The following is a 13,373-nucleotide window of genomic DNA, read 5'->3' as shown; positions in this document are numbered from 1 at the left end:
TCTGTGAGTGCAGGGACCTTGTCAATCTTGTCACTCCTGTATCCTTAACACCTAAAACATATCGCAGCCAAGAAGAGGCACTCAAATTCAGCAAACTAATTAAATCAATAAACAGGTTTCTAAGTATTTCACTTAATATATGCTGTGAACTCTTCTCAGTAAATTCTAATCTACATGCAGGTAAACCTGACCCAGGAGAGTTCCTTGGAATTATCTATTGTCTTAATTAGCATCTTCCAAGTAAAGGTTCTTAGTTGCAAACAAAGAAACTGGCTCTGGCTTTGTTTAAGCTGAAAGGAAGTTATTAAAGTGTATTAGGCAACTCACAGAAAACCCCATGGGGACCAGGCTGGAAAGCTACATAGTTAAGAACATCCAAAATTCAAACCACAGATATGGTCCAGTGAAGACCAAATGAGACTCAGTCACTGCAACTTATACTGATACCAACACCAGGCACTAAGTGTTGCAACTGGAATCTCAGTCACTGCTGCCTATGGAAAAGATAAGCTGCTATCCCATCCCCATCCCTCCTTGACTAGAGAATACAGATTCTACATACCGCCTGCCTCTGCAGATCACTGGCCTCTGAGGTAGGCAAGCACTGCCAGTCATGGAGGCCACAGGATTGCATCCTAACTGCAAAAGCGGTGGGGAAAGTGAACAATTAGCTTTCTTAATGGTGGAGATCGCTCTCCCTCTCACAAAGACTCCTAAGATAAAGACTTCCCCAAACACAGAAAGGTGTTAGATTATCTTGTTTATAATCCAAAAAAACTAATGAACCAATAACACAAGGTATCAATCCCAGCATGCCAGAACTTTTATCTATTTCTTCAGTTAATGGGTTACAGAAACTCTTCTTTTTCTCTAAATGTTCAACTTTACGGCACTTAACTGTTTAGGCTTTTTATTATCTGGAGGTAAACACGGATAATACCAATCACTTTCTAGGTATATTAAAATAACTAATAATAAATAGTTATTCATTCAGTAGGCCAGTGGCTGGTCTGCTGCAGGTAACTGATTAATAGTAGCTATTGTTACTGTTACTAAATAGTAGCTTGCTTTTTAAGAGGAGAAACTCAGATTTACAAGAATACCTTTTTTAGAAAATAATCTGCCAAAAGGTTGAAGATCCAAGTTTTTATTTTACCTTGGTAAAGTAAGTGTGATCCCACACTCCCTATGTTACCAGAAATAAAGCAACAAGTAGTTTAAAGTAGTTTAAAACGGTGCTACCAAAACTAAGTTCAAGAAATTATAAATAAATAAGTAAATCAATACAACTGCTCACCCAATCCACAAGCCAGGTTTTCCTTTACACTCACTCCAGGGAGTTCTGACTAACTGAAAGCTTCAACTGCTAGGCACAGTGGCTTACGCTTCATGAGGCTGAGGCAGGAGGATCACTTGAGCCCAGGAGTTTGGACCAGCCTGGGCAACAAAGTGAGATCCCCGTAAAAGTGAGATCACTATAAAAAAAAATTTAATTTTTTTTTTTAAAAAAAAAAAGAAAGCAAGCTTCATGAGGGCAGGAACCATGAATATCCATCTGATTCACTATTATGTCCCAAGAGCTTAGCATGGAGCCAGGCACAAAGAGACCTGCAGGAATTATGTGATGATTTGCTTTTCCAAATATTTACTACAGAAATTAGTCACTGAAAAAGGTTATAAAACTATATTCAAACATATCCCTTTATAAGCTTTAAGAAAGCTCATTCAGCTGACAAGATCAACAGCTTCAATTTTCTAACTACACGACTCATTCTTTTGAAAACTTGTCCATACTACAAACTTTTCCTCATTCTTGTTCTGTTGTCCAAACTTGAAGTTAAAGCCAAAAAGAATCCAAATGAACTATTCTGTCAGTCTTTAAACAAATAATCAAAGCTACAGGGATTTTTGTTGTTGTTTTTGTTTTTGAGTCAGGGTATCACTCAAAGTGTACTCACTCAGGCTGGAGTACACTGGCACAAACACAGCTCACTGCACCCTCAACCTCCCAGAATCAAGCGATCCTCCTGCCTCAGGCTCCCGAGTAGCTGGACTGCGGACCACCACACCTGGCTATAGCACTTATATTCGATATGCACCTGAAAGCTACTACAAATGCCAGAGCTACATTCCAGATATAACTGCTGAATGAACTTCACTGTGTCGGCTAGAAGAGTGAAGAATATCCTGATCCAGGCTGATCCCTCTCCACAACTTACACCTGCTCCAAACAACCACTAAGGACTGTCCCCATTTCAGTAAACTACTACAATTATACACTCCTTTAATACAGAAGACAGAATCTTTCCACTCCACATTTCCAGTATCTAATTCTCAATACATAGTAGGCATTTCATGTGCATTTGTTGAATTATTCCACGAATAATTTTCTTTCTCCTGACTACATAGAACTTTCTAATCCTATCTTTAAAAAACTTCATCTTTTCCTTTTTCCTCAAAGCTCTCATATTTCCTGCTAATCTCTTAGTCCAACAAACATCTTCCTACTGTAGGTTTTTGGTCCTTGAGACCAACTAGTAAAGACCAAAGCATGTAGTTCACTGATTCATTCAACAAATGTTTATTTAGTGTTTACTATGTGCCAAGCACCCTGCCAACCACTGAGATTGCAAGAGAGAGCAAAACACTACTGGTCCTCATCTCTGGAGGGCATTAATCAAATAAGCACTAAAAAATTATCAACTGTAATAAGCGTTATGAAGGAAGAGTACAAGGACACATGAGATTTTTAAAACGAAGAGCGCATAGAAGGGATAGAAGAGCTGATAGAAGTGATGATCCCAAGCCAAGGAAGCAGCATATGCAAAGACTAGGAGCCGGTACAGTCACATGATCCAGAGACTGGTGAGAAGAGGCAGTGAGCCAGCTGGAGCCAGATCATCCAGGTGGCAGGGCTTGCAGATCCTGTGACTAGCGTGGTCTCTACCCCAAAAGTCATAATAAATCATCAAATAATTGTGTAGGTTTTTTTTTTTTAGGAGAGACAATTCTTGTTCATCTATTTGCTTAAATCCCTCTTCCATTTCTGCTCACTCAAGTGAACTTTCCTTATTCTTTGACCTTCCCTATAGGCCCACATCCTTTACTTTGCATGTCTGTATCTTTGTCTTATTCAGCAAACAGCCTTCCTACAAACTGTCTCCCGTGAATCTTAAAACGCCTGGCTTCTCCCTTTGCATAGCTGTCTCTAATATTGCTGAGTAACTGTGGGCCTTCAGGCCAATTCCTAGGTAAATTTACCTAGCTTTACTGATGTTTTAAATTGTACTACAGAACCACAACAACGAAATACAAAAAAAAAAAATTAAACTGTAAAATACTCAATGAGATCCTATAGGATCTTACCATTGTTGTTTCAACAAACTTTTACAAAACAATCTTTTATATCACAGAAGCAATGTCTCTCAATAACGAACATTTGATGTAAAGATAAAGTAAAAAACACCACTGTGGTAACAGTTGTTTTTTTCGAGGGAAAATAACCAAATCAGAATAAATTTTTCAACAGACAGTATTTGTCTTAAGGGCTAGAGTCCTATTTTTATCCAAACAAACTTTTAAGTCAAAATTAACTGTTAAAAGGACTCTAAAATGAAACAAAAATTTTTTGACCTTCAAAAAGCAACATCAAAAATTATTCCATTTTATAGACTCTATGTTCGCTTTAAGGAAAATTTAATTTGTATCTATTCTAGACTAAGTCCTTAGGCCTACTCAAGAACTATTAAAGATTCCCCCAGCCAGAACGTAACATCCGTGATAGCAGGGACAGGAGTGGCCTTTGTTTCAGCACTGATTCCCAGGCCCCAGGTTTTTCTATATTTGGCACCAGCAGGTGCTCAATAAATAGTTCTATCACTCCACAAGATAAATGCTTTTTAAATAACCAGTCTTCCAATTAGGATACATGAAAAAATAAAGAGAATATGAGATTTTTTTCAGGCAAATACTAAGATGCTCAGAAAAAATGAAACTGCTCACATGCTCAGCTACTCTCCATTTTCCAAACCATGAATTATGATACAACCTTTTCCTTTACAGATTCACAGCTTCAAACATTGCCCTCTCCCACTGCCCTATTTTTTAGCTCATATTTAATGGTGCTGCAAATTATTTCCACCTGTCCCTAATGTAAGGTCTGAACTACAATAATAATTCTATCTTCAGTTCCTCAACAGTTCCTTCAGGTCCTCAGTAGGACATATTCTCCATGTCCCACTAAAACCTAATCACTGCATTCCTAGAACCTTTTAGTATACTGCCAACAAAGCTTAATACTCTTTTTCCTATCTCCAAAAACTTGGCCATGTTGCTGTTTGAATCCAGAAATACTCACTTTGGTCTGTTGGAAATTAAAGTATAATTAAGAATATTTTTAAGGTTTTCCCATCTGTCTTCCACTTTTCACCTCTTCGTATTCCCTCATGCCTATACATTACATCTAGAATGGTCCTGCCTTCCAAACCCTCCTTCTTACAGTGTCACCTCCCTCCAACCCACAGATCTGTCCTAATCCCTGCTGAAAAACCCTCAATCGCCCCAAATTCATATCTTTATAATATTAAGACTCAACCCCACTCTCATGTCCACAAGTGTCCCCTTCACTCCCTGAGCATACCAAACTCACTCTCCCTCCCTCTCTCCCTCATCTGATGCTCCAGGGATATGACTCTGTCATTCTTCAAAGTCACCTTCATTTCCCACCACCACCCATTGCCCACATGACTTCCTCCAATAGACTGTCAAGTCCTCAGGTTCCACCATAAAAAGCCCATCCATCCACTCTTCAAGATCGAGACCCAGTCCCATCTCCACAATGCACACTCGAATCCCCATAATTGTCTTACTTCCTGTGCTCTTCTAGCTCTCCACATGTCAACCCCTCTAACTGTTAACGGCCATGGTCTTATCTGTGTTCAAGTTTTCCTGTATTGACACACCTATCTCAACATTAAAAGCAGATGTAACCAAACCTTATTCACTTTTATAATCAAAAGCTTCTACCACGACTCATATCTCATACAGAGGACATGCAAATGTTCACTCAATTGAAGAAGAACAAGAGCCCCCTTTTCTGTAGGCATTTACAATTTATCAAAACATCAGTTATTCAATCAACAGAGTAACGAAATAAAGGGAACCCAAAAAATACTTTTGTTTTGTTTTTCGAGATGGAGTTTCGCTCTTGTTGCCCAGGCTGGAGTGCAATGGCGTGATCTCCGGCTCACCACCACGTCCGCCTCCCAGGTTCAAGCAATTCTCCTGCCTCAGCCTCCCCAGTAGCTGGGATTACAGGCATGTACCACCACACCCGGCTGATTTTGTATTTTTAGTAGAGACAGGGTTTCTCCATGTCGGTCAGGGTCGTCTCAAACTCCCAACCTCAGGTGATCAGCCCACCTCGGCCTCCCAAATTGCTGGGATTACAGGTGTGAGAAACCATGCCTGGCCCCCAGGAAATACTTTAACTATAACATACATCTGATGAAGAATGAATTATTTTGTTATTTAAAATAAAAATCTTATAGTACAACTTAAGGTGTTCAAACTCAGTCATAATTAAAGAAATGCAAATCCAAACAACTAGACATCATTATTCACCTATTACATTCACAAAAATCTAAGGTAACAACAGTGTTGGTGAGATTTGAGAAACTATACACTCTCAGACACTGCTGGTGAAAGCATAAACTACTGCTACTTTTCTGGAAGACAATATGGCAACATATATTCAAATATCCATATACCTGGTGAACCAGCCACTTTCCTTATAAATAGACATCCTATGGCCAATACTCACAGAACACAACTATACATGCAAGGAAGTACGCACCAGCATTGTTTAAAAGAGCAAAAATATGAACTTAAATGTCCTTTAATGCAGTCTGACTAAACAGAGGTACAACCATAGAACAGAATACTTTCCGACCATTAAGAACAATAGAGGCTGGGCAGTGTCTCACAGCTGCACTGTGAGAGGACAAGACAGGAGGATCACTGAGGCCAGGAGTTCAAGACCAGCCTAGGCAACATAGCAAGACTATGTCTCAACAAAAAATTTAAAAATTAGCTGGGTGTGGTGGTGTACACCTATAATCTCAGCTACTCAGGAGGCTAAGGTGAGAGGATCGCTTGAACCCAGGAGGTCAAGGCTGCAGTGAACTATGATCATGCCACTGCACTTCAGCCTCAGTGACAGCGAGACTCTGTCCCAAATTTTAAAAAATGGGAGCTCTGTGAGCTGACATGGAAATATTTCTAACATAGGTCAAGTAAAAAAAAATGCGGGGCACGGTGGCTCAAGCCTGTAATCCCAGCACTTTGGGAGGCCGAGGTAAGCGGATCACGAGGTCAGGAGATGGAGACCACCCTGACTAACATGGTGAAACCCCATCTCTACTAAAAATACGAAAAATTAGCCGGGCGTGGTGGCAGGGGCCTGTAGTCCCAGCTACTCGGGAGGCTGAGATAGGAGAATGGCGTAAACCCAGGAGGCGGAGCTTGCAGTGAGCCGAGATTGCGCCACTGCACTCCAGCCTTGGGGAAAGAGCGAGACTCCGTCTCAAAAACTAACTAAATAAATAAAAAGCTTAAGTTGCAAAACTGTGTGTTTAGTATGTCTGATCCCATTTGGTTTGGATTTTAAATACACAGACACTGTGTACATACACACACACACACCTGTCTATGCACTTAAAAATAATGGAATCATACATAGTTTTCTAACACAATACATACTAAAAGTATAATATATATAATTGTGTGTGTATATATACACATGCATACATTTCTGGTAGGAAAAACTGAACAGTTATTATTATGGAACATGAGAAGGGGGAAATGATCTGCTATCATTCCACAGAGCTTGTTTTTTTAAACTATATACTACTTGTGGATCTCTTTAAAAACTAGAATATCCTAGATGATCAGAACCGTACCTTATATGTTTGATAACACTGCTCAAATACGGGCCCTAACAAATAAGACAGTAAGAAAACAGGGACACTCCCTCTAGTCCAGTAGTTAATCAAGCGCAGGGTCCTAGGCAGAATTACCCACAGTGCCATTACCAACACTCTCAGTGATAGGAAGCCATCGAAGCAAGCTAACACTACCAACCTCTGGCCACCAGAGAATACTCACATGAACCTTCCCATGACCATACCACAAGGTGATATTTCTTAAACATACCCTTAAAAAAAAAATTGAGACGAAGTCTCACTCTGTCGCAGTGGCACGATCTCAGCCCACTGCAACGTCCGCTTCCAGGGTTCCAACAATTATCCTGCCTCTGCCTCCCAAGTACCTGGGACTACAGACACTCACTACTGCACCTGGCTAATTTCTGTATCTGTAGTAGAGATGGGGGTTTCACCATTTTAGCCAGGCTGGTCTCGAACTCCTGACCTCGTGATCCACTCGCCTTGGCCTCCCAAAGTGCTGCGATTACAGGCATGAGCCACTGCGCCTGGCCTAAACATACCCTTCATTTTTCTCAGTAAAGGGCACATGGACTGTGTTCTTCCCTCCTTTCCAAAACATTCTTAGTGCAGGCATCATTCTGATTTCTGGACTGACACCTGCACTAAGCAGCTGTTCTCCCCTTTGACCACTCCCAGTGGAACTCCTCCCAGCACTCAGACTCTCTCTTCTCTCTGCCAAGCCATTCTGTCATTCTGTTCTTCATCTCCTCGTCTGCTTGTGGGGCCTGCGGTTTCAGGTTTATATTGGTATAGGAAGAGGGGGGCTTGGCGGGCCAAAAGGCAACTTTTGGGTGCAAAAACAGGCATGCCTGTTCCAATTTAGGGCTATGGGTTTTCAGGCTAGATCTAATAATAATAACTGATACAAATAAAGTGTTAACCTCATAACAGGTAAAGAATATTCCTCCAGGGCTGGGTGTGGTGGCTCACACCTATAATCTCAACACTTCGGGAGGCCAAGGTCAGGAGTTGGAGACCAGTCTGACCAACATAGTGAAATCCCGTCTCTACTAAAAATAACAAAAAATTAGTCGGGTATGTGACAGGCACCTGTAATTCCAGCTACTCGGGAGGCTGAGGCAGGAGAATTGCTGGAACCCGGAAGGCGGAGGTTGCAGTGAGCCGAAATTGTGCCACTGCACTCCAGCCTGGGTGACAAAAGTGAAACTCCATCTCAAAAAAAAAAAAAAAAAAAAAAAGTAATATTCCTCTAGGAATATTCTAATTTTAAAATTTTAAACTAGAGAATTCCAGATTTTATCTTAATCTAATGAAATGAATTCCAACAGTGAAAATTACAAGCAACCTAAAAGGAAAGTAGTAATTTGAGGACAAGAACTACCTTTGTTCCTTCTAATCATGTCAAGTAAGTAGCTGCCTATACATCTATTCTAATGCTGTATATACATTGCCCACAATAGTGCTGATACTAACAAAACCTTACTTAAAACCTTCAGCTTTTCACCTTTAAATATTCACTTAACCTTTAAACATTCACTTGAGTATTTAAATATTCACATTATTTTTCTATAGGGCAAAAAGGACAACTGGGCCAACCATTCACTAGACATAAGCTCCCACATTAAAAGCCACATACTTACTTTAAGATGATAACTATTCCTATAAAATCCCACTGCACTCTGTACACCTTGTCCTTTATTCCCTCTTCTGTAGAAAGAACAAAGAACGAAGAGTCAGGAAAAACAATGCTAGTCCCAGGCCTGCTTATTCTGAGGCACTGATTAGTCACTCAGCTTCTCTGCACCCACTTCCTTCTCTAATATGTGAGAAATGAACTTTATTGGTGTTTCTCAAAATGTTCCTACTGCATCAGGATTACCTGGAGTCCTTAAGAAAACAGATTCCAGCTAGGCCCAGTGGCTCAAGCCTGTAATCCCAGCACTTTGGGAGGCCAAGGCAGGCGGATCACGAGGTCAGGAGATTGAGACCATCCTGGCTAACACAGTGAAACCCCGTCTCTACTAAAAATACAAAAAAATTAGCCAGGCGTGGTGACAGGCGCCTGTGGTCCCAGCTACTTGGGAGGCTGAGGCACAAGAATGGCGTGAACCCAGGAGGCGGAGCTTGCAGTAAACCGAGATCGCACCACTGTACTCCAGCCTGGGCGACAGAGCGAGACTCTGTCTCAAAAAAAAAGAAAGCAGATTCCAGAGCATCACTCTAAACCTACAGAAAGAGAGGCATCTGAGCTTGGAAATCTCTTAACTTTGACAAGTTCTCCAGAAGACTGTTTGGGAACCATTAGTTTTCCCAAGTCTGTACTAGAGCTAATAATATTTCATAGTTTAAGGGAATCTTAGATATTTATATTTCTCTTTTTTCAAATCCACAGGAATTCAAGAGGAACATACTAGATAGTAAATGTACGTTTAAATATCTCTGCTATCATCCTTCTTGCAGTGTTCGGTGACTCAAATCTTTATGACATCCTGACAACATGCGAGTGTTATTGTAGCATTGTTTGCTGAGGGTATGAGCAAGAAGACATTCAGTTGGTCCAGTGGACTATTAACACTAAATGCAAAAGCTCAGATTTCAAATATTGCTTACGTGATACAAGCACAGCAATCAAGAACCATGTTTCTATCAGAAAATAAAGCGTCAGTAAAATAACTGTTATTAGACCCAAAATCCCTTCACTACTAAAAGTATAGCTACATTTTTCTAATCTGACCACTTACTTATATTTTGCATAACGGTCTATTTGAATTCACATACCATAGTTTAAAAAATTAATGATTAAATACAGAAAATAAACTTATTAACTAATGCAATCCATTGTATTTTCAAAGTCTATTTCTGGAAGCTTCTCCCAAAACATTTTGAAGTGTAACAGGCAATGTTTAATCATCCCCCATTCTCCCCTTCTTCAGTAGACCCAAATTTTCAGCCAAATAGTCACCTATCAAAGACCACATATCCCAGACTCCTTTGTATCTAAACATGGCCACATGACTAAGTTATGACCAATAGGGTATGAAGAAAAATCATGTATGCAACTTCCAGGTTTGTCTTTAAAGGGATGGAATGTGCCTTCCCAAAATCCTATTCCTGGACTGTGGATGTAGTGAGAAACTGCCTTGTACTATGAAGAAAATGGTAAGCACAGGAAAGCAACAAGACAGAAGGAACCAAGCTCCCTCACATCGTGGTGCCACCATATCAGCCTTAGATAAGTTATACTGTTGTTTTATGAAGGAAAAATAAATTTCTCGTTTAAGCCACTGTATTTAGTCAGAAACAGGCCCATCTACATTCTAACTGGTACATATAAGAAAGCTTAAATTTATCGTAACTCTTAAATATTAGCTACCAACCAACTCAGCAAAGCTAAAATTCTATACTCTTAAGTCACAATAGAGCTTCCTACTGAATAACCCCATTACTGAGATTATTGCTACTGTGCCATTTTATATTTATATGGCATTTTACACTTCAGCACTTCATTATAGTGTCTCATTTCACATTCTCAAAATCCTGGGCAGGGCAGCCGGTGCTATCTATATCTGGCATACAGGATACTGAAGCGAGGAGAAGCTGTTTTGCCCAAGATGACATGGCTAAGGAGTGGTAGTCAGGAAGGATTCAACATACAGGTTCCGCATTCTATCATTCTATGAATCTAAACCCCCTATGTGCCAGGCACTGGAGTTACAGCCATGATCAAGAAAAACTTCTTCCTGTCCAAATGGACTTTAAAATTTAATGGAGAAATTAAATTTACAATTATATTAAATGAAATTTAATGAACAATTATATATAAGAACATATATGAATAATCATATTTGCAGTAAGGGTTGCAAAGAAAAACAAATGGTCCTGCTTGGCCAAAAAAAAGAATGCATGGCCAAGGAAGACTACCTGGTTTGGGGAAGGCCTCTCTGAAGAAAATATTTATGCTAGGATCACAGAATGAGCATGAATGAAGATGAGGAGAGAAAAAAGGAGGAGAAAGAAATCCATGAAGAAATGTACATGCATTATCTCAATTTTCACAAGATTCCTATGCTAATTACTATCAACCTCATTTTACAGATGAGGGAACTGATGTTTGGTGAAATCACTGTACCTAAAGTCACACAGCCAACAGAACCTGTTGAGACTCAGATCAGCCAGATTCTGGAGCCTCTGTTCATGGTTTCATGGGCAGGGGATCTTTCCACAGTATCATGCTGCCTCAACTGCTGTCTATAACTGGATAGCAAGCAGACAGACAGATGTCACAGTTCAAACCTTTTTTTTTTTTTTTGAGACAGTGCTCCACTCTGTCACCCAGGCTGGAGTGCAGTGACACAATCTCAGCTCACTGCAACCCCCCACCTCCCAGGCTCAACTGATCCTCCCACCTCAGTCTCCTGAGTAGCCTGGACTACAGGTGGCACTAACACACCTGTTTTTTTTTTGTTTTGTTTTGTTTTTTGAGACAGGGTTTCACCATGTTGCCCAGGCTGGTTTCGAACTCCTGGCCTCAAGTGATCCGCCCACCCTGGCCTCCCAAAGTGCTGAGATTACAGGTGTGAGCCACCACGCCAGGCCTCAAGCATCTTTTTACCCAAATACATGGGTGCCAAGATGCAAGCCTTAACCATACATGTCCATAACATTTTACGGACATGCAAAAGCTTTTGTGAAAAACCCAGAAGAGAAAATGCATAGCTCTGGTAGAAGAACCAACTGCCAAGATGTCGAAATGGCTCTATATTATCAAATAATATAGATAATGATAATACGGAAAAGCTTTTTGTGAAAGCTTTTTTAAAAATTAAAAAATCAAATCTTGTCATTGGAAATGTTATACACTCAAGAAAAATTAGGGGGTTATTTAATGAACAGGGATGTTATTTAAAATAGAGTTGATGCTGAAAGCCAGTTTCATTCTATGTTAAGCCAGTTCACTGGGCCCCCCCCAAAAATCAATTAAAACAAACTTTTCTAACATGGGGAGATAAAACAAGAATATTCACTGACAAGAACAAAGACACATTTTAAGCTATTACTCACTATGTATCAGATATGAGCATCTGCCCCAAACCAAAAAAAAATTATGTAACTTGTCAAAACCTAGTTTTAACAGTAATACAAACTTTTAAATATCGCTTTCTAGAAGAGAAGATACATAGCTCTGGTATAAGAACCAATTGCCAAGACACCAAAATGGTTCTACATTAGCAAAACATATATGCCCAAAAGAAACCACACCATTTCACGTGTTCAACGTAGGGTATTATCACCAATAAACAATTCTCACTCGTTTTAGTACTCTGGAAGTAGGATTTCAAAGCAAAAGCTTAACTTTTTAAATACCTAGCTGGCTTACGCAGTGCAATATTTCCAAATCATTTTGTTTCCATATAAAAAAATAATAATCAAACTAAGGCTGCTGGTAGCCAGTATTAACAAATAAGATCTTTCTTCAATTACCCAATATGAACGAACCTTCAATGATTATTTTAGTCACATGAAGTCTACATTTCACTTTCAAACACTCTATGGTAAACTTTACAACTCTAGCTTAAAATTGTAGCACTGACATAAGGCAAGATTTCAAAAAGCTTTCTTCATTTGGGAGCAACTGAGGAGAAATTTTAGGTAATTTAATATAATTTGCTGATTTTTCCAAGTAATTAAACACAAATTTTAACTCTCCAAACTTTTTAATCCAAAGTTGAGCAAGCTTTGGGTCATAAATTACCACCTCTCTAGCCATCAGAAAATTGCCCAACAGTCAAGATAACATCTGGTAAAAAGTCTTTTAAAAGGCAAAACCACCATATATACATAAGGTGCTATTACACTGGTCACACAATTCACTTTCACAGAGCAAACTGTTAGTATCAAGTTTCAGGAAACATTACTAATAGTTTCACGTAATATCTTTACTTCTAAATCGAAAATAGACGAACATATATGGAGGTAAAATCACCAAAACACTCAACAGAAAGTAAAGATTCTTGGTTCAGTTTAAATAACTGCTTATGATTACTACAAAATAAGACTAACACAACTTTGGGGATGAGGAACTAAATTCTTGATAAAGACTTTCTGGAAGTTTTTGGGTTTTGCTGGGTTTAGATAAGTTTTTTCTTGGGGAGGGGTGAAACTGCTTCCTGTGTGTGTACAGGAAACGTGAAAGCCTTCTCAAATATGAGGAAAGCTAATGCCAAAGCAAAGACAAACTGGCACACGCCTAATCACAAATACCAAGAAAGTCACAAGTGAAGCCCACTCTTCTACTAATCTTGTGTTCAGTGGCACAAGATTATAAGGCAATTCCCTTCTCGCCTATAATACAGTTAATTCTATCCACATTTTCTTCTCATAACTAGATACTTGTCAACCATAAACAGA

At 39.5% G+C, this 13,373-nt stretch overlaps 1 protein-coding gene across 5 annotated transcripts in view; it reads right to left on the bottom strand.

Moving 5' to 3' along the window:
- The window catches only part of DYRK1A (dual specificity tyrosine phosphorylation regulated kinase 1A), a 160,786-nt gene that overhangs the window by 142,636 nt on the left and 4,777 nt on the right, over window positions 1-13,373 (bottom strand). The gene's annotated exons all lie outside the window — the stretch shown is intronic.

This window comes from Homo sapiens, chromosome 21 (assembly GCF_000001405.40).
Source record: "Homo sapiens chromosome 21, GRCh38.p14 Primary Assembly".
NCBI lineage: Eukaryota > Metazoa > Chordata > Mammalia > Primates > Hominidae > Homo > Homo sapiens.
The sequence above is the reverse complement of the archived record's forward strand: the minus strand, read 5'-3'. Positions and strand labels throughout refer to the sequence as shown.